The following is a 26,618-nucleotide window of genomic DNA, read 5'->3' as shown; positions in this document are numbered from 1 at the left end:
TTTTGTCTATGTCTTTGTATTCTTACATTTCACTATAATATTCACTATAATATATTCAGAATATATAATATATAATATATTCACTATTATATAATATATATAATATAATATATAATATATTCACTATTATATGTTATATATAATATATTCACTATAATATATAATATATTCACTTACAAATATAATATAATATTTGTAAGATTCTCCTCTTTGGCACTTTCTGGGCCCTTTCAATCTAAAGTCTTCAAATTCATCAATTTCATGAATTTATTTCTGTTTGTATTCACCGCTTCACCCCATCCCCTCTGTTTCAAACATCTTTTTTTTTTTTTTTTTTTTTTTTTTTTTTTTTTTTTGAGACGGAGTCTCGCTCTGTTGCCCAGGCTGGAGTGCAGTGGCGCGATCTCGGCTGACTGCAAGCTCCGCCTCCCAGGTTCATGCCATTCTCGTGCCTCAGCCTCCGGAGTAGCTGGGACTACAAGGCGCCCGCCACCACGCCCGGCTAATTTTTTTGTATTTTCAGTAGAGACGGGGTTTCACCGTGTTAGCCAGGATGGTTTCGATCTCCTGACCTCATGATCCGCCCGCCTCGGCCTCCCAAAGTCCTGGGATTACAGGCATGAGCCACCGTGCCCGGCCTTTCAAACATCCTTTTTTTATACACAAAATTTTTAGAATAATTTAAAAGTCCTGCTGTGTTTATTCTCTAATGCTTTTTGCTTCTAGTGGAAGCTGTAATCCAGGATATGTTTTCCTTTAGAAATAGCTGTGCTTCTCAGAATATCTTGTTATTTTGGTTTGGGAATCTATCCCTGGCCCCCTCTCCTCTCCAGGGTACCAACTACCCCGTTAGGCCATGCATTAGGAGAGGGCCATCACCCAATTTATTTAGCCCCATTGAGTTTAGTGGTGAGGAGTGGATAAGCCCTAAGGCAGATGGCAGCAGGCATCTCCAAACTGCAGCCAAGGCCAGTCACTCCTTGTTCCCTGAGGTCTTGGCTTCAATTTGCATCCCCTCCACCCACTCAGGGAGAGGTAGCAGTAGGAGGAGACACTCCTTAGATTGTAAAGTTCAAGCCTGGGTGTTTGAAGAAGGGGTACGGAAAAGCGAATACCAAAAGTTTAATGATTTTCTCATTGCTCCAACAGCACAGCGCTTCTGAGGGGCCCTGATTTTACTGCCGTGGATAGTGAGAACTGCAACAACTGTCACCGGGAACGACTCCATCCAAATCCCAGCACTAAAAGACTTGATCAATGACTTCTAGCTGCCTAAGGCCATATTCCTGGGAAGACCAAAGTCCCACCTGAGTTCCCATCTGGAAAAGCTTAAGCGTGCCAAAAGAATTTACTGTTGTTAACAACAAACACCTGAGATAGGCCCTTCACCTCTGTTTCTTAGAGTATTTGTTAAGGAAAAAAAAAGCTTACAAATCTAAATATTTCCTTTGTCCCTGTGAGATGCATATGTATTTCCTACAACCCTTGGAGTGTCTTTCTCAAAGACCTGAGACCTTTGAAATGTAATCATGTAATTTTTAGAAAAGGATAGGGTCCCAGTCTCTCATTGCCTTTAGGAAGCCTAACTTCGATAAATGCCAGTAGCAGACACTGGCAGCCTAATCCATTTTCATTGACCCACCCTCTTAGCCACTTTTTGTAATTTTTCACATCTCTGACTCTGCTCTATCTACCACTGGCTTCCCCTCCTGCTCCCTCATTCCTCCTTGAAAATGCCAAAATCACCTCTGAACATACTGGAATTGAGCCCAGCTCCTTGCCCTACTACATTAGTTATTGAATAAAATTTGTTTTTACTGCTTTATTACCAGTTTTGTGTATCTATGAATTTGATGAAGTTAAAAATTCAAAGTTTCTGCTAATAACTTTTTTTAATCTGAAAACTCAAGCTCTGAATTTCCAAAAATGTGGAGAAGCCACAGGTAAGAGCAAAGAAAAATCAGGAATAGTATTCCTACAGCACTCCCTCCCCATACATGCCATCACATTTTTTGTCCACAAGTCCAGTGGCTTCCTGCCCCAGGCCAAACCCTAATTCCCCGCACCCCAACTCTTACCGGTTCAAAAGCATCTGCTCCTCCAATTATCACCACAAGGAGTTTTCACATGTTTTTTTCTTGTTTTGCTAGTTACCCAGGGCTTCTCCCTGGGACAGCTCTCTGGGGAGCCAGCAGGAGTACCACTTCAGCATCTTGCTAGAAACAGAACAATGATGAATGGAAATGTTTCCTGTCTCTTCTCTCTCCAGTTCCACATTCTTCTGCCAACACCTTTTGGTTCTTTCTTCCTTTACAACATTTTCTCCCTACTGTCTAAAAATTTTCAACTCCTAATTCTCTTTTACTTCTTATCTGGAAACAGTTAGCTCTCCACTCCTAACGTAAACTATGATTATAGCTTACATTGATATATTCCACGACAACTTAATCTGTAAAACAAAGGCCAATTTACTCCAGATCTCTTTTAGGATTAAAAAAAAGTTATTTGAATTTTTGACTTCATCAAATTTATAGGCAGGACTCCCTTTCCTATCCCAGAGCACGCCTCACCTACCCCTCTTCCAAGGATGATTCTGTGGCTTGCTTTTAAAAATCTGGCTTCTTCCTCACCTATAAAAATATTTTCAGACAATGTAAATGACTGTGGCTCTCCTTTTTTCTCTAGCCAATTATGAAGAAACATATATTTCTGATCCTTCCCTTTTGGGTACTAACCAGTCCTCCTCACCTTTGTTATTTATCATTCAGTCCTCAGGTAACTAAGCCAGGTAAAGAAGTCCTTGCACCAAAAGTAGTATCTAGAACATTGCTGCTCAAATATTGGCCAAGGGTTCAGCAAGATTGGCATCACCTGTTAGATTGTTAGATAAGCAGAATCTCAGGTCCCTTCCAGTCCAACTGCACCAGAATCTGCATTTAGGGACTAAGCAAATCTCCCTGGCTTGAGGAATGCAGCCTGGTAGTCTACAGCTTTCGTTTTAAAAAGATTTTCTCAAGGTGAATTGCTTTCAAGAATTCATGAAAACACCAGTCTCCTCCAACTAAAACAAAAAAAACCTCTATAACATATCTTGGATTGCTAATAGTTTAAACATTTTTCCACATTTCTCACCAGTAACAGAGTCTATTTTTTAACTCAATAACTTTGTGGAGCACTTGATTATCATGTATTACTTGTGAATATCATCTGTATTAAATTCCAACTATTTTATTTAAATTAACACTAAAATGTTAACAGGAGCTCCTGTTTTAACACAATTTCAAGCAGAGACAATTGTTTAACTGGGTAAATTGAAACTGGTTTTTACGGTTTATTCTGTTTTTGTGTAAGTTTGTGTTGGGACTCAGAAAATGGTACTCCAAAGTATGGCGCTTTGGCATGCTGAGTACTTTGAAGGAGATTAGATGGCCTCAGAAAGGGCCTCAGAAGCAAAGTCTGTCTCTGACCTTCTCTTGCCCTTCTGTCTCCCACTCCCTTTTCTCCCTCTGAAGCAATTTATAAAAAACAGAATTCCTCTTCATTAAGGCAGGTCAAAAAACTAGAACTCCTCTTCCTCAAAGCCAGCCATAAAACCTAGAAATATTATTCTAATCTTCCCCTGCCTTTCTGTGTTGGAGCTGGCCATAAAGAAATTCGCAGACCCACCTTATCTAATAATAGGTAATAAGACTTCAGAGGGGTCCTATCTCATACCTATGAGGAAAGAATGATACATACAGAGGCCAGAAAGAATTTGAACAGACAGCCCTTGCCAGGTTTCACCCATCAGTCTATTACCATGAGAACATTCACTTTTATCCAATCACATTTCTATTGGGCTAGCCATTCTTTGTCAAACCTAAGCCTAAAAACAGACAGTTTTCCCTGGGTCTTTAGATTTTCATTTCTGAAGGCTCCCATGTTACTAAAACTTTGATTAAATAAATTTATGTTTTTCTCTTGTTAACCCATCTTTTTTTTTGTAGGAGTGTCGGTCGTGACCCTTATGATAGATGAGAAAAGGTATTACATCTTTTTGCCCCTGCATTTGCAAAGCTCTGTAATTTTCTAAAAATTTTAAAATCATCTTCATAACTATTTTGAGTTTAATAAAAATTTCTGTAACCTGGTTGTGCACTTATTTTGGTTTTATTTTATTTTATTTTATTGAAACGAAGTTTCACTCTTGTCGCCCAGGCTGGTGTGCAATGGCATGGTCTCAGCTCACAGCAACCTCTGATTCCTGGGTTCAAGAGTTTTTCCTGCCTCAGCCTCTGGAGTAGCTGGGATTACAGGCGCCCGTCACCATGCTCAGCTAATTTTTGTATTTTCAGTAGAGACGGGGTTTCACCATGTTAGCCAGGCTGGTCTCGAACTCCTGACCTCAGATGATCCATCCACTTCGACCTCCCAAAGTGCTAGGATTACAGGAGTGAGCCACCACGCCCGGCCATTTTGGTTTTAATATATCAAACACCTGTACCAACTGATAGCCTTTTTCACTATTACATGGAAGCAATCAACAGTTTCCTAGAAAAGTAAGTTGGGCAGCGTGGCAGCACTGAAGTCATAAGGCTGATTGGCAAATGTAAAAAACAAAGTAGAGGAGCAGTGAAGACAGATGAATCAGGGAAAGGTGGAAGGCAAGGAGGATGAAGATCAGAGGAGAACATAGGAGCCTTGAAATAAAGGTGAAAAGACAAGAATTCTGATTAAGAACACATGTTTATTCTTTTTGTAGGACACCATACTGGTACAAACAGTATTCATGCTCAGCTGTAATAACATGGCCATAGGGTCAAATTCTATCTTGAGATAAAGGATCCAAGTCCAAAATTTTTAGGTTTCACAACTATATTCCCTTAGTCATGAACTATACAAGCATATATTTAATTCTCACCAGATACATGGAGGTAATTCCCTATGTGTACTATGTAATCTTTTGAGACTTTGTTTACCTTGTATATGTCTCCTAAAAGATTCAGCATGGAGAGGAAATATATTTTTGTGGTTAAGCGCATAGGATCTAGAGTCAGACTTCCCAGGTTCAAATATCAGCTGTGGTTTGTGAAGGTATATGGCTCTGTACCTCAGTTTCTTCATCTGTAAAATGGTAATAATTAGAAAAACCTACCTCATTGAGTTGTTAGGAGGATTCAATGTCAAGCATTTACCACAGTGCCTGGCAAAAAGCTTAGTGCACAGTAAATGTTTAATATTCAAATGAATTTTAAAATATGCACATTGGCTTGTAAATACAAAATTTCTCTCTGGAGAATACAACAAACTGATGAGGTTCGTTGCATGGGGAAAGAAGCTAGGTGGCTAGGGATGTATGTGGGAAAGAGATATTTCACACTGTATAATCTTTCATATCTTTGGAATTTTAAACCATGTAAATGTATTGCACATGCAATGAAGCATTAAATAAGTAAATAAAGTAAAATAAAAGACATTCTGCTTCACTTAAAACTTTCTCTTTACAGCTTTAAAAAGCTTGTACTTGGAGGTTTCCTATGGAATTTTGTTAAGCTTCAGTGACAATTGGTGGTAAATTCATCAACAAATATTATTTATTGGGAGCTTGGCATATGATGAATAAAGCACGGTCCCTCTCCCAAGGACCATGCGGTCCACTTATTAAGACAACACAAATATTCCAAGAAAAAGGGCCAATACAAACAAGAGTATAATTTAGAACTAAACCGCAAGGAACACGCCTACATACTCCGATGTTTAAGGGCTATGGCAGACTGGCATATACAAAACATGTTTGGAGGAGGGACTAGGTCTTTAGTAGGGTTTTCAAGAATAGGTAGATATTGTCATTGCTGTTGAGAGTGTTTTCTTTCTTTTAAAAATTTTTTTATTGATCCATAATAATTGTACCTATTTATAGGGTTCCTGTGATATTTTGAAATATGCATTAAATGCATAATGATCAAATCAGGATAATTGGGATATCTATCACCTCAAACATGTATTATTTCTTTATGTTGAGAACATTCTAAATCTTCCAGCTATTTTTGAAATATACTATAAACCATTGATAACTATAGTCCCCTAATGTGCTATCAAACACTAGAACCTATTCCTTCTATCCAACTTTATTTCTGTATCTTTATTTTTATTTTTATTTATTTATTTTTTTGAGATGGAGTCTCGCTGTCTCCCAGGCTAGAGTGCAGTGGCGCGATCTCGGCTCACTGCAAGCTCCGCCCCCCGGGTTCATGCCATTCTCCTGCCTTAGCCTCCCTAGTAGCCGGGACTACAGGCGCTCGCCACCATGCCCGTCTAATTTTTTTTTTTTTGCATTTTTAGTAGAGACGGGGTTTCACCGTGTTAGCCAGGATGGTCTCGATCTCCTGACCTCGTGATCTGCCCGCCTTGGCCTCCCAAAGTGCTGGGATTACAGGCGTGAGCCACGGTGCCCGGCCATTTCTGTATCTATTAACCAATCTCTCTCCCTGCTACACCCTTTACAGCCCCTGCAACTGCCATTCCCTTCTCCACCTCCTTGAGACTAACTCGGTAGCTCCCACAGATGAATGAGAAGATGAGATGTCTGTCTTTCTGTGGTCGGCTTATTTCACTTAACCTAATGTACTCCAGGCTCATCTATGTTGCTGCAAATGCCAGTATTTTATTATTTTATGGCTGAATAATATTCCACTGTGTATATACAAGATTTTCTTTATCCATTCATCCATTGATGGACACAGATTGATTCCATACTTTGGCTATTGTGAATAATGCTGCAATAAACATGAGAGTGCAGATATCTCTTCAGTATACTGACTTCTTTTCTGTGGGTTATATACCAAGAAGTGGGATTCCTGGATTATATGTCAACTCTATTTTTAATTTTTTGAGGAGTCTCCATGCTTTTTCCCATAAAGAGTGTACGAATATACATTCCTACCAACAGTGTGTGAGAGTTCTCAGAATGAGAGAGTTTTCTGATGGGAGATGAGGAATGATGTGATAGAAGGCCAATGAGGTGTAACCTCAAGTCACTACATAAAGCTTCTCCCAAAACTAATTTATCTGGTTAAAATTAATAATAATAAAAGTCAGAAAAAGCACAGATAGAAATGGCAGGCACATTTTGCTCATCACTTTTACTGTCTTTTTTCTCCAAAATTCACACAACCATACCTAGAAGTGGAACCACCATACTGCCACTTTTAGCACCAAAGACATGTGCTATGGAGTTGGAGCCAGAAGCTTGAAGGAGCCTCATTGTTTCATTTCCTTGAGCAAATGCACACTCTCTGTATTGCTTACTTTCCATCTTGTTATATGAGAGAAATAAGCTCTTACTTTATTACCTTTATAGCCTGGTTTCTCATCATGCACTGAAACACAATCCAAACAAATACAACTACACTATTGTTAATAAAAAGCCTGTATCCAGAAACTTTAAGTTTTCAAGGTTTTTTGGTTTTGTTTGTTTGTTTTGGTTTTGGTTTGTTTTTTGAGATGGAGTGTCACTCTATCACCCAAGCTGGAGTGCATGGCATGATCTCGGCTCACCCCAACCTCTGCCGCCGGGGTTCAGGCAATTCTCCTGCCTCAGCCTCCCAAGTAGCTGGGATTACAGGCGCCTGCCACCATGCCTGGCTGGTTTTTGTCTTTTTAGTAGAGACGGGGTTTCACCACCTTGGCCAGGCTGGTCTTGAACTCCTGACCTCATGATCCACCCGCCTCGGCCTCCCAAAGTGCTGGGATTACAGGCGTGAGCCACTGTGCCCGGCCAGTTTTCAAGTTCTTTACATGTAAGTTTGCCAGATAAAATACAAGATACCAAATTACATTTGAATTTCAGATAAACAACAAAAAACTGTTTTAGTGTAACTATGTCTTATAAAATATCTTGAATATGCTTATACTAAAAATCACTGTTTTTCTGAAATTCAAATGTAACTGGGCATCCAGCTTTTTATTTGTAAATTATGGCATTATTCATATGTCATACAAAACTTGTTCTTGGCCAGGCTGCTCCTATCAGCCAGAGTCTTGGACACATTGCCCACCCCAACTCCCAAACAAAAGGAAGTTCTTTTAGTAAGTTAAAGGGGGAGAATGGATAGGTAATTAGCAGTGCCTGTCACAACAGAGAAGTGGGATTTACCTTTTGGTCTTCAGAGAGGATAATGCAATAAGGTGGAAATCACACGCACTCCTCTCTGAGAGCATTTATTTTTCTCCCTCTTTATTTTATAATACTTTCATTTATATTCTTCTTATAAAAACACTAGTAGTTCTACCATTTAACACATTCAATCACTTTAGTTCATTTCCTACAATTTTCCCTTCAATTATAGTATCATCTGTTCCATATAGCAGTGATCATAATGGATAAAAAATTCTGAGTCCTATTTTTCCCTTTATAATAGTCTCAAAAATATTCACCATTTCATTGCATGATCTTTCTAATTTTAATTTTAATTTTTCTATAATTTTAATAGTTACTGAATATCCCATTGACATGATTTTCTGCAGTTTATACTTTTTGCAATGTTGATATTTTATTATTTTAAACATTTTTATTTGTTTTAGTTTTTAATGCTAACATAATTATAGGTCAGCATCTTTGTTGCCATTATTTTATTTTTTGTGGGTTGAAATTTTGAATTATATATAAAGAACCATATATTTGATTTGGAATTACTCTGTCAAATAATACGATTATTTTTAGTCTTGATATATATTTTTAGTTTTAATAGTTCCTGCTTCCAAGGTTAGCCTTTAGCAAAATTATGAAATTGGGTGACTTTAAATTGTCTTTGTTTCTGTAACCTTCTATTCTGCAGATCATTTATTTTTGGTGAATCCCAAATTCCTTCCCATTTTCAAATATCCAGTGCTTTTCTCCTCCTTTACCCCATTTATAATCAGCTTTCAAAAACGGATCCAATTTTAATCATTGATGTCACTTTAATATTAAAGCAATATTTCCTGGATCCCAGGGAATATTTAGAGAGATAAGGTACATCAGTTACAGACTTAGTTTAAATATCAAGTTGTTTGTCCGTCACTTGCTTTTTGACTTGAAGTCCTTTACATCTCTGAGACTGATTTTCTCATTAATGAAATGAACATATTAGTACCCTCAAGTCAGGGTGGTTACGAGGTTAAATAAGATAATTATGTCAAGATCTTAGTACACTGCTAGGCTAATAGTAAGTATTTAATAAATTCTAGATACTATTAGTGATAATTATCATCTTCACTTTTACTTTATTTATAATTGTGGAATGAAAATATTATTACCCCTAAAGGAAGTTCAGGAATTCACCTCAACTTGAATATCATACAATATCCCACACCCAGTAAATATTCCAAATATTTTTGATGAGTTTTTTTCTCCCACCGTCTATTAGAGATTTTTCTGTAATAGTCCTAGAAAGTATATAATGGGAATTCTATCAACGACTCCTGTGGGAAAGGTGGCCACTCATGCCAGGCTAAAGTCCTTAAAACATTTTTACTCATAAAAATATTGATACAACATTAAATTTTGAATATTACGTAAAAGCAAACATTTTTTTTGAGACTGAATCTCACTCTGTTGCTCAGGCTGGAGTGCAATGGCACAATCTCGGCTCACTGCAACCTCCGCCTCCTGGGTTCAAGCAATTATCCTGCCTCAGCCTCCCAAGCAGCTGGGATTACAGGCCCCTGCCACTATGCCTGGCTAATTTTTGTATTTTTAGTTGAGACGGGGTTTCACCATGTTAGTCAGGCTGATCTCGAACTCCTGACCTTAGGTGATCCACCCGCCTCGGCCTCCCAAAGTGCTGGGATTACAGGCATGAGCCACCACGTCCAGCTTTTTTTTGTTAATTGCAAATTGTAGTGAAAAATATTTCCATTTTTAGATGTAACATGAATTGAAACAAAGAAATGGTGACATTGGCAGGTTTGTCCCCAGTTAAAAATTTATTTACTACTTCCACTTCTTTTGGTTAATTCATGGATGCCTGTATCCTAAGATGTAAGTTTTTTTTACAATTACAGCAAATAAATTTTTAACAGTAATGAATTAAAAAAGTGTTAATTTTGGGGGATATTAAAAAGAATTAATCATGACTATTATAACCATCAACTTGCTTTGCCCTTTACTTAATTCAAAAATGGAGACTCTGGCTTTCTTCACATGCTTCTTCAGAATGAACAAACAAATAGTACAAAACATTAACATACAGAAATTCAGTTAATTCCAGCAAATATCAATATTTCCCTCAACAATCTTAGAGGGTTAACACATATCTCTAATCCAAGCCACCCCTTTTTAAAAAGGCAGTAAGCAAGAGTGAAAAAGCAAAGCAAAGCAAATGCTGCTGGCTTGTATATTTAGAGGGCCAAGGGAAAAGGGAATGAGCAAAGGTTGAAGAAGGGAGCAAAGCTAGACAAAAAAGAAAGCATTTTTTTATGGTCATGTCAGTATTTTCTACTATAGATATTGAATATCTGGAGGTTTATAACTTTGTTCTAATAATTCACTCTGCAAGTGGCAAAGAGGGTGGCAGCATGGGAATAAAAATTGTGCGCATGTTTTTGCAGAAAGATTTCTAACTGCTGAATTGAAAATCACTTAGTTATTTAAGTTACAAAAGTCAGAGCAAAATGAAATTCATGCTTGTGTTCAAAACCTCTGAATGGTTTGCTGTTTTGTGAATCCTTATAAAGAGAAAAAAGTTAAGCATGGTAGAAGAGAAATTGTTTAGTATTTCCTTTTGCCATCTCCTTTGTTTTATAATTTCACTTAATGAACAAATTCAATAGGGGACTTTTAAGTTTTTTCCTTCCCAATTAAAGTTTTCCAATGGTTATGAGTTCAGAGACATTGGAAGTCTGAAAAATGACTGCCATTCCTAACACTGAGCTTTACTAACATTGAACTCAACATTTGTTAACACTTTCTCAAGCCACTCCTAAAATGTAGACATTCCTCTGTCAGTAGGCTTAGCCCTTCCTGCACATCATATCCCCCTCCCACTTTGGAAATTGCATCTACTTCATGATATCAGCTACCAGGGTGAATGGCTCCATTTCTGAATCCTTGTTGGAATTCCCCCCCAGCAGAATGAATCTATTTTCTCACAGCATTTTGAATATCCCAATTAGAACCCATCTTACTCCTTTAGCTTTCCAGTACATTCCAACAATGTCTTCTTGCAAGCACCTGTGGCTCTCAGCCTGAGGCACGATCTCTGCTCATACATGCAAGGGGCTGGTTGGGAGTGCTGGGTCTCTAAAATCCTCACCCAGTGATGGATAGGAGTTGGAAGACAGATACTCCAGCTTCCTCAGCTCTTAAGGGATTGCACAAATCTGTTTAATACTCCCTCCCAGTGATCCTTTCCAGGATTGAGCAATGTTGCCACACTGGCTATCTGCATGCGTACGCTCCTTTCATTGGCTTTCTTCCTCCCCCTTTTCCTTTCTTATTATGTTGGTGTTTCCTGGAAATCATCTTCCAAATAAATAACTTTCTCTCAAACTTTTGTCTCAGCATCTGCTTCTGGAAAATCCCAAGTTAAGATAGTTGGTATCAAAAGTGGTCCTAGGAAGCAGAACCGTAGGATGGGATGCTCACATTAGATCACTTCCTAGCTAAATAGTAACAAAGTTCCACTGATGGTGGTGAGCAGGGTATTGTCGATAAGCCTGGGCATGTTCTAGCATCACAATTACTAATTATTTTACATGTGGTGAACTGGGATGGGATATAGGCACAATAGCTCCAGCACACTAGAGAAATAAGAGCAAAGGGAATTATAAGGTTTGTATATTTGGCCAGCTGTTTTTTAACTGTGATTGGAATCCTAAAGAAAAAGTCTACAGACTGAGGTCAGCCAACTATCAGCTCAAGGCATGGTGTTGAAGTCAGAAGGCTACTTGGCAGCTTGTAAGGAGGTTCTGATATCCTAGAGCAGAATATGCTGAGAATGACTACCAAGATTTGGTTGTAAAAGTAGTCCTAAAGGTAAGCCCTGATAAAGTGTAGGACCCTAAGATATGGGAATGGGACACTTGAATGGAAGAACTTGAAAAACGTGAACCCACGGATCTGCTCTCTTTTTCCCTCTTTGCTTCTACCAATAACTAAGGATAAATCTCAGCATGATCCAGGCAGGAGAGTTCTATTCCTGCCAAATCAGGCAAATATGTTCCTTTAGGAAATGGGAAAACATGCCGGGAAAGGATCTTGTCGGTGCTGGACTGGGATAAAGGTCACTGAACTTAAGGCTGGATAGAGGAGATTTTATTGAGGCACTCTCCTGAATCAGATTTAACATCCTGGCAGGAACACTAGAACCAATCTTAAAGTTCAGGTCAGATGGTTCTTTGAAACTTGGAAACAATAGGTTCTAGAAAGCAAGGTAACGTTACTGAAAAGAACTTGGTAGAATATTGAAAGTGTCATGAAAAGGCTTACAGAAGTGGGCCTCTTTAAGTAAACTCATTATATAAAACAGAATTCTCTAGTTCAGGATGTTTCTCACTAAGGTATCCATAAGTTACATAAACAAGTAGTCTGAATCCCCAGGTCACCTACCTCTGTTGCTGACATTTCTGCTTTTAAAACTATGGCCTCATGGAGTGTTCCCAATGATGACCTGATGAAGAAGGAAAAAATCAGTCCTTGTACATGGTATAGCTCAATACGTCAGTGCAAGCTGAAATGGACTGCTGCTACATCAAAGTCCCACATAGGAGTGGCCTTAAGTGACAGTGGTAAGGGTAAATTATTCCAGTGGGCAGAGCTTTGAGCAATACACATGCTCATCAACTTGTATGGAGGGATACGAAGTCTCGGCTAAGACTATATGGATTTCTTGGCAATGGTAAATGGCTTGACTGGTTGGCCAAGGCTTCTAGAAGGAATGAAATGGAAAGAATAGAGTCAAAGAGGTCAGGTGAAAAGGCATGTAGATGTGTCTATGAGAGTGGACATATACAAACTGTATGATTATTTGGTTAGCATGTCAATACCTACCAGATATTATCTACCACAGAAAAGACAGTGAAGTATTAGGTGAACAGGATGACTGTCCAGAGGACATCAGCCAGCCTCTATCCTCTGATCATTGGTGGTTTTACAATGGAGCGATGGCTCCATGAATGCTATAGAAATGGTGTCAGTGTTGAAGACTACTTGTGGGTGCGGGAACATGAATCTCTCTCGTCTGAGTTGATCTAGCTACTGCCATTTCTGAACATCTAACTTGTCAGAAGCAGAGAACAATGATGAGCTCTTAATGTGGTATTGATATGGTTTGGTATCCCCACCCAAATCTCATCTTGAATTGTAATCCCCATAATCCCCACATGTCGAGGGAGAGACCTGCTAGGAGGTGACTGAATCATGGGCACGCTTTCCCCCATGCTATTCTTGCGATAGTGAGTTCTCATGAGATCTGGTTGTTTGATAAGTGTCTGGCACTTCCTCCTTCTCTCTCTCTCACCTGCCACCATGTAAGACATGCCTTCTTCCCCTTTGCCTTCTGCCACAATTGTAAGTTTTCTGAGGCTTCCCAGCCATGTGGAACTGTGAGCCAATTAAACCTCTTTTCTTTATAAATGAGCCAGTCTTGGGCAGTTCTTTATAACAGTGTGAAAATGGACTGGTACAGTAAATTGGTACTGGGAGTGGGACACTGCTATAAAGATAACCTGAAAATGTGGAAGCAACTTTGGAACTGGGTAATGGGCAAAGGTTGGAACAGTTTGGAGGGCTCAGAAGTAGGCAGGAAGATGTGGGAAACTTCCTAGAGACTTGTTGAATGGTTTTGACCAAAATGCTGATAGTGATATGGACAATGAAGTCCAGGATAAGATGGTCTCAGATGAAGATGAGGAACTCATTGGCAACTAGCGCAAAGATCATTCTTGCTATGGTTTAGCAAAGCGACTATCAGCGTTTTGCCCCTGCCCTAGAAATCCATGAAGCTTTGAACTTGAAAGAGATGATTTAGTGTATCTAGCAGAAGAAATTTCTAAGCAGCAAAGCATCCAAGAGATGACAGAGCATAAAAGTTTGGAAAATTTACAGCCTGATGTTGTGATAGAAAAGAAAACCCCAGACGGACATGGTGGCTCACGCCTGTAATCCCAGCACTTTGAGAGGCTGAGGCAGGTGGATTGCCTGAGCTCAGGAGTTCGAGACCAGTCTGGGTAACATGGTGAAACCCCGTCTCTACTAAAATACAAAAAATTAGCCGGGCGTGGCAGCATGCACCTGTAATCCCAGCTACTCAGGAGGCTGAGGCAGGAGAATTGCTTGAACCTGGAAGGCAGAGGTTACAGTGAGCCAAGATTGCGCCACTGCACTCCAGCCTAGGTGACAGAGCTAGACTCTGTCTCAAAAAAAAAAAAAAAAAAGAAAGAAAAGAAAAGAAAACCCAATTTTCTGGGGAGAAATTCAAGTCTGCTGTAGAAATTTGCATAAGTAACCAGGAGCTGAATGTTAATAGCCAAGACAATGGGAAAAATGTCTCCAGGGCATGTCAGAGATCTTGGCAGCCCCTCCCATCACAGGCCTGGATACTTAGGAGTTAAAAATGGTTTCCTGGGCTGGGCTCAGGGCCCAGCTGCTGTGTTCAGCCTCAGGACTTGGTGCCCTACATCCCAGCTGCTCCAGCTCCAGCTGTGGCTAAAAGGGGACAAAGTACAGCTTGGGCCATTGCTTTAGAGGGTGCAAGCCCCAAGCCTTGGCAGCTTCCAGGTAGTATTTGGCCTGGGGGTACACAGAAGTCAAGAATTGAGGTTTGGGTTGGGCATGGTGGCTCACACCTATAATCTCAGCACTTTGGGAGGCCAAGGCAGGTGGATCATTTGAGGTCAGGAGTTCGAGACCAGCCTGGCCAACATGGTGAAACTCCATCTCTACTAAAAATACAAAAATTAGCCGGATGGTAGTGGCGTGTGCCTGTAATCCCAGCTACTTGGGAGGCTGAGGCAGGAGAATCCCTTGAGCCTGGGAGGCAGAGGTGGCAGTGAGCCAAGATCAGGCCACCAGTCTGGGCGAGAGAGTGAGACCCTGTATTAAAAAAAAAAAAAATTGAAGTTTGGGAATCTCCGCCTAGATTCCAGAGGATGTATGAAAATGCCTGTATGTCCAGGCAGAAGTCTGCTACAGGCGTGGAGCCCTCATGGAGAACCTCTGCTAGGGCAGTGTGGAAGGGAAATGTGGGGTTGGAGCCCCCACACAGAGTCCCCACTGGAGCAGTGCCTAGTGGAGCTGTGAGAAGAGGGCCACCATCCTCCAGACCTCAGAATTGTAGATCCACTGATAGCTTGCACTGTGTGCCTGGAAAAGCCACAGGCACTCAACACCAGCCTGTGAAGGGGCTGCCCAAGGCCGTGGGATCCCACCCCTTGCATCAGCATGTACTGAATATGAGACATAGAGTCAAATGAGATTATTTCAGAGCTTTAAGATTTAATAACTGCCCTGCTAGGTTTCAGACTTGCATGGGGCCGATAGCCCCTTTGTTTTTCCAATTTATCCCATGTGGAATGGGACCATTTATCCAATGCCTGTTCCCCCATTTTATATTGGAAGTAACTAACTTGCTTTTGAATTTATAGACTCCTAGGTGGAAGGGACTTGCCTTGTCTCAGATGAGACTTTGGACTTGGACTTTTGAGTTAATGCTGGAATGAGTTAAGACTTTGGCGGATTGTTGGGAAGGCATAATTGGTTTTGAAATGTAAAAAGAATGTGAGCTTTGGGAGGGGCCAGGGGCAGAATGATATGGTTTGGCTCTGTGTTCCCACCCAAATCTCATCTCGAATTGTAATCCCCTTAATCCCCATGTGTCAAAGAAAGGACCTGGTGGGAGGTGATTGGATCATGGGGGTGCTTTCCCCCACACTGTTCTCATGATAATGAGTGAGTTCTCATGAGATCTGATGGTTTCAAAAGTGGCAGTTTCCCCTGCACGCCCTCTCTCTTCTGCCACCACATAAGATGTGCCTTATGTATGATTGTAAGTTACCTGAGGCCTCCCCAGCCATGCAGAACTATGAGTCACTTAAACCTCTTTCTTTATAAATTACCCAGTCTCAGGCAGTTCTTTATAGCAGTGTGAAAATGGACTGACACAGGTACCTTACTTGAAGGGGCATAACCAGCCACTTAGTGGCAAGTAGATTACATTACACCCCTCTAATTAGTTTCTTATGACTGCTTTAACAAATAACCAGTCACATTTGGTGAGTTAAAACAACAAATATTTATTCTCTCACAGTTTTGGAGGCCAGATATCTGACATCAGTACCATTGAGCCAAATCCAACGTGTCAACAGGGCTGTGCTCCCTCCAGAGGTTCTAGAGGAGAATTCTTTCCTTGCCTCTTACAGCTTCTAGTGGCTTCCAGCATTCCTTGGTTTGTGGCCACATCACTCCAAACACAATGCCTTCTCTTCTTCTGTCTGTGTCAAATGTCCCTCTGTCTCTGTCTTATCAGGTGTGATTGCATTTAGGGGGCCACCTGAATAAGTCAAGATTGTCTCCCCATCTCAATATCCTTACTTAATCACATCTACAAAGACCCTTTTTATAATATAACATTTACAGTTCACAGGGATTCGGACCTGATATCTTTGGGGGCCATTATTCAGCTCACTCACAACCCTTTCCATCCAAGAGAAGGCAGAAATATGTTCTTGTTTGGTCTGACACATATTTATGGTATAAGTTTGGCTTTACTGCCTACAGTACCACTGCCAATATGAATATCTGAATGCCCACAGAGTGAGTATCTGTCTGACTTACTGTTTTTTGTTTTTTGTTTTTGTTTTAATTTTGGGGAGTGGGAGGTGATTTGAGACAAGGTCTGTCTCTGTCACCCAGGCAGGAGTACAGTGGTGCAATCATGGCTCACTGCAGCCTCCAACTCCTGAGCTCACGTGATCCTCCTACCTCAGCCTCCTAAGTAGCTGGAACTACAGGTGTGTGCCACCATGCCAAGCTAATTTTTTAAATCAATTTTTTTGTAGAGATGGGTTCTCCCTATGTTGCCCAGGCTGGTCTTGAACTCCTGGGCTCAAGCAATCCTCCCACCTCATCTTCTCAAACTGCTGGGATTATAGGTGTGAGCCACCACACTCAGCCTGAATTACTGATATGGAATGCCAACTAACACAGCCTCAGACCCAGGGATTCACCTTCTGGTGAAACTGCAAGGCGTGGGGCGTGGGTTGATGGGATCTCCTGATCCTACCATATATATCATTATTTGGTCTATTTGAATGTTGAAATGGTTAAAGGGGAGCTTAAATATGCTATTTTACAGGAGCTTAAATATGCTATTTTGGGATACTGTTCAACTTGAAAAATAATGTGAATCAAAAGAAAGTCAAAGTTGGAGTTAACTTTCTCATTCTTCTTCCCAAGGACCCACTTTGGGAATTTGTGCTTCCTATCTCTTCAAATTTAGGTTGGGCTGAACTAAAAATCTTGGCTCCTAGGTGTGGATGTCAGCTCTAGCAGGGAACACAGCACAATGTTATTAAAGCTAAGGCTACTGGCCGGCCATTTTGAGTTTCTCATACCAGTAGACCAGCACAAAAAGAGGATTTACTATATTGCCATGAGTTACTGACCCTGATGAACATGAAGATATAGAGTTTTTGCTACATAATGGAAGCAAGAAGGAGTATTTCTGGAATTCCTGTTCCAGTGAGTAGACTCACTGGTTTTTTTGGTGCTTCCATGCCTGGTGGCAACTTTGAACAAGTAGTTGTCTCAACCATGACCTGAAAAGGGTCTGGTAATCAGGCTCCCAGATCCCATAGGGCAGGAAGCCTAAATCAGCACAGGTGCTGGGCAATGGGAATCTGAAATGGCTGATGGAGGAGGAAAACAAAGAATGTTGATTCTGGCTTCAAAATCAACTGCAGCAGTATGATATACCTGTTAAAAACTTTATTTCTATTTTTTAAAAGGAATGATTACTGGCCACTTTCTTGAAGAAGCAATGCCAGGAAAGAATAAACTTAATGGAGGCACATGTGCATCGGAGTGGTACAAGGAGTACATTAGAGCAGATACTCTCAGTGCCCCACTCCTATTCCCTTGTCAAGAACATTTGCTTGAATGTTCCACATCAAAGGTATGAGAGACATTATTCCATGGTTCAATACACAAATGATTACCAAACTGCTTTGTAATGTAATAGATACTCAGTAAATGTTTGCTGAATGAATAAATAATTACATGAATACATTTTTATACAGAAGACTGCTGTGGTAAGCAGAACTATAAGATGGTTCCCCTTATCTCTACCCACTCTCCTCATGTTACAGCCATGATTATGTTAGGTTACATAGCAAAAGAGATTTTGTGGATGTAATTAGGGTTACTAATGAGTTGACCTTAAAATAGGGAGATTATCTGGATGGGCCTGGGCTAGTCACTTGAACCCATTAAAAGCAGAGAGTTTTCTCTGGGTGGTAGCAGTAAAGAAGTCCGAGAAATTTAAAATGTGAGAAGAATTCAATGTGAGGGAGGAAAATGGAAACTTCAGTCCTATAAGAAATTGTATTCTGCCAACAACATGAAGGATGTTGGAAGCAGATTCTTCCCTGGAGCCTCCAGAAAATACCCCCCTTTGATTTCGGCCTTCTAAAAACCCCAGCAGAAAAGTCCATCTGGACTCCTGACATTCAGAACTGTGAGGTAATAAATTTGTGTAGATTCTAGCTGCTAACTGTGCAGTAATTTGTTATCTAGCAATAGAAAATGAATACAGACCTATACGCTTAGTTCAGATCTAGGTTCAAATGTCCATCTTGAATGTACCACTGGATGCCAGACCTCTTGAGGATATTTTACTTGCATCTGGCATTTACAATTTAACATGCATAAAGCAAAATCTGTCATAGTCTATGACCTCCTAACTTATCCAGAGACCCAGTCTCCTGGGGATCACTAAGTGACCACACAGTCTTTTCAGTAAGAGTGATTCAAAACCTCTCAGCTTTCACTCAATTCCAGGTGGCTTTTGTAACTTACCATAATATTGTCAAACTGTAGTCTTCTATCACCTTCTACATTTTTGCTACATATTCAAATTAACTACATTGTTACATCTTTAATGTTTCCTTTAAATCCACTCACTCTTTTACTTAAATAAATGTATCATAAAAGTTGAGGATATGTCACTACCGTAAGTGGGTACACTAGTATCATTGACCATAAATAGAGGGTAACTGTAAAAATAAATTCAATGAAAATAAACTTTTAAATTTCAGCTAGATATTGCTGGCTGCCGAAGGCTCTGAACATAAGGCCTGCTCACTCTTTGTTTAAAAAAAGGAGATTAGCAAATGTTAGAGAGGTGTTAAGTCAAAATAGCTCAAATAGCTCAAATTGAGAATTTCTTCTTGACATAATTAAAAGGACTGAAAGAGATTTAAAATGGGAACAGCTTTTTTTTCTATGTCATAGTTATATTCTTCAATGCCCTTTACAGTACAATTTAAAATTATCTTGACTATCACCCAAAATCATATTGGATACTTTGTAATGAGAGTCCCACACTCTGCAGAAATTCTCAAAGTGATTAAAAATTAACTTTCCATCAAGGACACCTGTGTAATCTTGGGCATGTACTGAGTAAATGCTCAAGACAAGTCATTATTGTTATTAGCATCAATATCATCACATCATCATCATAGTTGCCTCCACCCTCCTCCATATTCTTTTATTAAATCATTTTATCCACAGAACATGTCACTGTTTTCTTTCACAACAATTGCTTCTGTTCATTCACCTTCCAAAGCTTCATTTTGGCTGATCTTTACTTTTTTCCTAATCAATACTGTTGCCTAATAATCCTCTGTTTTACCACTATTTATTTTTCCAAAACTTATGTTTGATCACTTTCATTCTCTGAGTAACACAGGATCAGAATGTTATATTGGGAATATCATGATCCATTGAGTAAGGCAAACTCTTCCACATGATGCCCAGCAATTCCCAATCATATTAGTTTGTTTTACTCTACTTCAGGCCATTTATCATCATGTATAAATTTTCTTATTTATCTTTTGGTGGTTTTGTGTAAAGTTGGTCTCACTCAACTAGATCATAAGCTCAGGGAGTATGAGGAACTTGTATGTCTTGCTGACTAATTTATTTGCAGCATCTTGAACAGTGCTTGTGACATACCATGTGGTTCTCAATGACCTTAGGCAAGTTACCAGACTTGTTCTCTCTAACCTTGGTTTCAAAATCTGCAAAATGGAGATGATAATGCCCACCTAACAGGGTGGTTGTGAAGATGAAATAAATTATATGACGATTCTGGTATAACAACAGAAGCTATTATTAGTATATCTTCCTGTTATTGTTAGAGAGTTAGATCAATTTTAGACTAGTATTCAAAGACTTCTGGATTTATGTCATCAAATTTTCTTTCTATTTCTAAACCCATTTTTGTACATTATCCTAATACCTCAGCTCCTGTAATATTTATTGAGTGTTTGCCTTAGGATAGATTTTAGGCATACAAAATAAAAAGACCTGGTTCTAGCCCACATGGAGCTGTTAGACTAATAAAGAAAAAAAATCATGTGATAATAACGATAATGAAATAATGCACAGTATGTGGTGCAAATACTAGAGAAATAGTTTCCTGGGCTACTTGCCTAGGAATGGGCCAAAGGTGAGGACAGCAGAAGGAGAGAAGCAAAATGAGTAAGCCATGGCTCACCATTCCTACAACTTTCTTGGCACTGTTCCATAATTTGGGCTTTCCCTGAACTCTGGGATGCCTTTGCACCCTACTTAAATTCACTTTCTGTGTGAAGTTTCTACATGAATTTGTGAAGCTCCCTATCAGAATTAATGCTTACTTTTCCTTTACTCCTCTACTCTTCAGTTCATACCTCTTTGATGCACTCCTCCCAGACTCCAGGCTCTCATATTTATTTTTACATTTTTTTCCATCCATTTCACAAGATCGAAGGTTCCAAAGCATGGCACATGCTTTTTCTTTGTTCATCTCTACAGACTCGATGGTTCCTTCAGAACTTTCTTTCTACAACTAGTATCTCTACTTTTTCTTGAGGTCTGTAGGGCCCAAATCTATCTCTTCAGTTTACTGTAAACAATCTGTATTTTTGCCTAAGAGTATGTACATTCTTATAAAAATTAATTGTATATAAGTAGCCATCTATAACTCCCTTTATGATGTGTTAGAAAGAGGATTTGAAACACTGAATAAGTCAATAGGCATGACCTAGTGAAAACTCTAAAATGGTACTCAAGTTTAAATGAGACTGAACACGGGCAGAAGAATAAATGTGGGAAAAAGTTGAAGTGAGTGAAAAATGGCTGTGGCAAAATTACCAGCTGTTATTTATAGTATGTGCCAAGTATAAATATGTCCTTGCGAAACTTGAAGAGATGAGTCCTCAGTTATTTCAAGACAAATTTCTGACTTGCTGTGTATTATTTAAGAATATTTTATGGAGACAGTATTAAAAATTCTATATATGGACGGCCAAATGGACGGAGGGACATTATGATATGACCGGTGGACCTCGACTGGAGTCTAAACTTGTGGTCACCAAACTTTTTTTATTTCACATACCTATCTAATTCTTTTCTGAAATAATACATAAATGAATATATTGGAGTTTGTAGTAGCCATATAGCCCTATAGCTCAATTCCAGTCTAGGAGGCTAATTTCAGTAAGCTGGTGGTCTGTAGCTTTTCAAAGGTAAGATCAAAGCAAAGGACTTTCTGCCTTAAATACGTGGTTTTCAGCCACTATATATATTTTGTTTTGTGGTTGCTATTTCTTTTTTGTCCCTAATAGAGATTGCACAAATTTGTTTAATGTGGGAGACACAAGAGGCATGAACTCCCAGCAAAACCTATAATATCCTTCTGCTCTCCCTATTCATTCAACAATGTCTATTATATGTAAGGAGCTCTGCTACAGCCTGGGACAAACAAAATGGAATACAGCAAAATCTGTCCCTTTGAGGAGTTGATTCAATATAGAAAATAGAAAAGCAGAGCAGTAAATACTTGACAATATGATAAGTGGAATTCAAGAAGTGAGTATGCTCAGGGTCTTCATGGGTTCATAGGGCAGGAAGTGCTTCCTTCAGTGTGAGGCAGTTGGGGAAGATTTTACCAAAGAATCTTAATATATGAGAATAAGAAATTGATGGAAAAATTAGGGAAAGAAATGCCTCCCAAGCACAAAAACTCATATAATTAAATTCTACATGTGCTGGATATAGTGTTAGGCACTAGAGTTATAAAGACAAAGATATCACAATTTAAGATATGCACACTCTGGTAAGGTTAGGGATAAAGGTATATATATTAACAAATCCCTATAATCTGGTAAGAATAGCCCAGCCATCTTGTCTAGGCCTAAGAGTGAATATGAAGACAGTGGGCTAGGAAGCCAAAGAACAGGATGGGGCCTAGGAAGAGAAAGTTTGTAGACAAATTTTGGGGGTGAAGAGGAGTGAGGCTAGGGTCATATACACAGTTATCATTTAGTTTTGGCTCCCCTAGAGGCCGAACCTGGAATAAGGATTTAATTGCAAATAGTGTATCTTCGGGGTGACCCCAGGTGATGTAAAGGGGAAGATGAAATGGGGAAGGGAAGGTAGCCAATAAAAGATATGTTGTCAGGCAAGTACCACTGTGACTAAACAGGGATTAATCATGCTGAGGAATTCTGAGAACCAGCGTCTAATGGGTTTCTGTTTAGACTTAATAATCAATGTAAATATTATAACTGTGATGTATCAATGGTGTATTTTCAAAATAGCTGTGCTTTGGTTTAAGAAAATTCGTATCAGGTGGGCGCGGTGGCACACGCCTGTAATCCCAACACTTTGGGAGACCGAGGCGGGTGGATCACCTGAGGTCAGGAATTCGAGAGCAGCCTGGCCAACGTGGTGAAACCCTGTCTCTACTAAAAATACGAAAAATAGCTGGATGTGGTGGCGAGTATTATTTCAACTCAAGGGCAAGGGATAGTTAATGCATCCAAGGGGTAGAGGAGCTGAAGTATTTATATACTAACTCTTATCAGTTATAAATTGAAGATTTCAGAGTGTATGCTAATTTTCAACTGCTTCTCACCCAGAGTGGACTCTAGCAGCCAAAGAAAGCCCTCGGGCAAGGAAATGCAGATACTGGCAGTTGGTAGGTCAGGCCTGGGTGCACCTCCCTGGGAAGGCCTGAGGGGATATAGGCAAATTAGCAACACTGTCTGCTACATACCAAATCAGAGTTTCTTGTGGTCTAGATGGTGCTTTACAAATGCTCATCTCTTTGTCTAGCTTATTGTCTTTACCATACAGAATTCGGCTTGTTTCACGTGGTTTTTATTATTAAAAATAAGGGCTGTTAGTGGCCATCCATCCAAATCACTCATTGTTATAGAAAACAAGCTCTCCCAAAGTTTAAACTGCTAGTTAACGGTTCAGTAAGCCTTAGAACCCAGGTCTCTTAATTCATAGACAGAATGCTACTACTTTAGCCACCATCATCCTCATCCACAACCCTTTGAAGGACTCCAGCAAAGAATTCTTAATGGACTGGCTGATGTCAGTATTTGAAATGCTTGAAAAAAGATAATCAGACTCACCAAGTTTCATATCTATTATTGTTTATCATCCACTGACTAGTACAAAAGGATATGTTGAACCAACTTTAAATTCTATTTTAAAAGTATAGATAACTGAATCTCAGTTGATACAATAAACATAATCAGATTTTAGCAAAAACAAATATTTTTAAAATGCATCAAGAAAGCATATTATTTAAGGAGGCCAGTGGTAAAATCATTTTCTGAAATTATTACTAGTTATCTAATTTATATACTATAAATAATTTATTATTATTATTATGGGCTTTGTTTTTATTTATGGATACGAATTTTTTTCCTTCTTCTTTTTTGGAGATGGAGTCTTACTCTGTCGCACAGGCTAGAGTGCAGTGGCACGATCTTGGCTCACTGCACTCTCCGCCTCCCGGGTTCAAGCGATTCTCCCACCTCAACTTCCCAAGTAGCTGGGATTACAGGTGCCTGCCACCACACCCGGCTATTTTTTGTATTTTTAGTAGAGACAAGGGTTCACCATGTTGGCCAGGCTGGTCTTGAACTCCCGACCTCAGGTGATCTGCCCACCCCGGCCTTCCAAACTGCTGGGGTTACAGGTGTGAGCCACCACGGCCGGCTGATACTAATTTTCTTAAAGTAAAGCACAGCTATTTTAAAAATATACCATTGATACATCACAGTTATAATATTTACATTGATTATTAAGCCTAAACAGAAAAATAAAATATATTTCATCTCTTGTAAAGAAAGTAATTGTGTTAACCTTGTATTTTATTCCTATAATCTTTGTGAACTGTTATTAAATATTAAATTGCATTCTAAATTGTGATCTTTGGTCACATTTTTATACCACCTTGGTTTAGAGGTTTATGATTCCCCTGACCGCTAGAAATTCTAGCATGTCTTTAAATTCTCTCTTACTCTAGGGAAAGTCGTTAATTGTAAGTTGGATTGTCATTTCTGAAAATAGGGTTAAGGAAAATACTGTAGTACTGTAACTCTACTTGAGTTGTTGCATTTTTCTCTATTTTCACAAGTCTGAGAGTCTGAGATGTAAGAACGTATGAATCATAAGGATGTCTTATAGTTAGTGTCTCTTAGTAATTTATATATTGGTGTTAATTGGTTAATAAAGTCTCACTCCTCCTTGTCTTGATAAGATTAGCCACATGGGAGCAGAATTTGGATTGAGGAGGTGGATGACTTTGGAACTAGAACATGCTGGAATTTAAGGAAGGCCTGGGTAGATTGTTAAATGGGGATGGTAAAATTATACTTACAGTAACAGCAAGATAATGTGTCCCTAAAAGATAAAGAATGATGATACTAATGATAGAAAGAGCTACATTTGTTTAATGCTTACACTGTGACTGACATTTCCTTTCTCTTTTTTTATGGAGACAGGGTCTCACTATGTTGCCCAGGCTAGTCTCACTGGAATTCCTGGCTTCAAGGGATCCTCTCACCTCCCAAAGTGTCAGTATTACAGGTATGAGCCACTGCACTCAACCTGACACATTTGTAAGCACTTTATATGTATTAACTCATTTAATCCTCCTAACAACCTGTGAGGTAGGTACTATCAGTATCACCATTTTACAGATGAGGAAACTGAGCATTATGACCTGACAAAAGTCCATTTGTTCATACCAAACTTTAAGTTCTTTAAGGTAGATATTTGTTGTCGCCATTAGTTAAAGATGAAGGCAATAGACTTTTCCCTCACAGCCTATCAGGAACTTTACCTTAAAAACAAATTTGATGCTTGTACATCAATGTTCATAACAGAATTATTTACAACAGCCAAAAGGTGGAAATAACCCAAGTGTCTGTCACCAGATGAATGGATAAACAAAATGTGGTATAGAGAATATTATTCAGCTCTAAAAAGAATTCTGGGGCTGGAGGTGGTGGCTCATGCCTGTAATCCTAGCACTTTGGAAGGCTAAGGCAGGAGGATTTCTTGAGACCAGCAGTTCGAGACCAGCATGGGCAACACAGTGAGACCCCGTGTATATAATTTTTTTTTTAATTAGTTGGACATGGTATGTGCCTGTTGTTCCAGCTACTTGGGATGCTGAACTGGGAGGATCATTTGAGCCTGGGAGGTGGAGGCGAGAGTGAAATATGATCATGTCACTGCACTCTAGCCTGGAAGACAGAGTGAGACCCCATCCTGGAAAAAACAAAAAGAATTGTGATACATGCTACAATAGATAAACCTTGAAAACATCATGCAAAGTGAAATAAGGCAAACACAGAAGGACAAATTTTGTGAGATTCCTCTTATGTGAGGTACCTATAATTGGCAAATTCATAAAGACTAGAAAGTAGAATAGAGGCCACCAGGAATGTGGGAGGAGGGGATAAGCAATTATTATTATTATGAGATGGAGTTTCACTCTTGTTGCAAAGGCTGGAGTGCAATGGCGTGATCTCGGCTCACTGCAACCTCCACCTCCCAGGTTTGAGCAATTCTCCTGCTTCAGCCTCCCGAGTACCTGGGACTACATGCACGCGTCACCACACCCGGCTAATTTTTGTGTATTTTAGGAGAGACTGGCTTTCACCATGTTGGCCAGGCCGGTCTTGAACTCCTCACCTCAGGCAATCCACTTGCCTCGACCTCCCTAAGTGTTGGGATTACAGGCGTGAGCCCCGTGCCCGGCCAAGCAATTATTACTTAATGGTTACAGAGTTTCTTTTTGGGATGATGAAAAAGTTCAGGAAACAGATGATGGTGATGGTTACATAACATTGTGAATGTAACAATGCTACTGAATTACATAACTAAAAATGGTGAATTTCATGTTATGTATATTTTACCACAATATTTTTAAAAAACAAGTTTGAGGATGAATTCAACAAACATCAAACATTAGTAAGCAAACATTTATTAGTCAGCAGACATGAAAATAGTTCAGACAGTCTGTTCTGTAATCTCAGTAAAGGCTCAGGTCTCAGGCCTTTGGGGTGTTCCTACCACACCTTACACA

General features: G+C 39.5%; 2 annotated features.

The window, feature by feature from the left end:
* Positions 836-1,684: an enhancer, noted in NCBI's record as "NANOG-H3K4me1 hESC enhancer chrX:28589664-28590512 (GRCh37/hg19 assembly coordinates)". NCBI's record gives its function as "activates a minimal SCP1, AML or CMV promoter by ChIP-STARR-seq in naive H9 embryonic stem cells {active_cell/tissue: H9 hESC(naive)}" and the evidence as "EXISTENCE:reporter gene assay evidence [ECO:0000049][PMID:30033119]".
* Positions 23,096-23,690: an enhancer, noted in NCBI's record as "NANOG hESC enhancer chrX:28567658-28568252 (GRCh37/hg19 assembly coordinates)". NCBI's record gives its function as "activates a minimal SCP1, AML or CMV promoter by ChIP-STARR-seq in naive H9 embryonic stem cells {active_cell/tissue: H9 hESC(naive)}" and the evidence as "EXISTENCE:reporter gene assay evidence [ECO:0000049][PMID:30033119]".

This window comes from Homo sapiens, chromosome X (genome assembly GCF_000001405.40).
Source record: "Homo sapiens chromosome X, GRCh38.p14 Primary Assembly".
NCBI classification, from domain to species: domain Eukaryota; kingdom Metazoa; phylum Chordata; class Mammalia; order Primates; family Hominidae; genus Homo; species Homo sapiens.
Note: the sequence above shows the minus strand (reverse complement) of the source record. Positions and strands in the feature narration are given on the sequence as shown.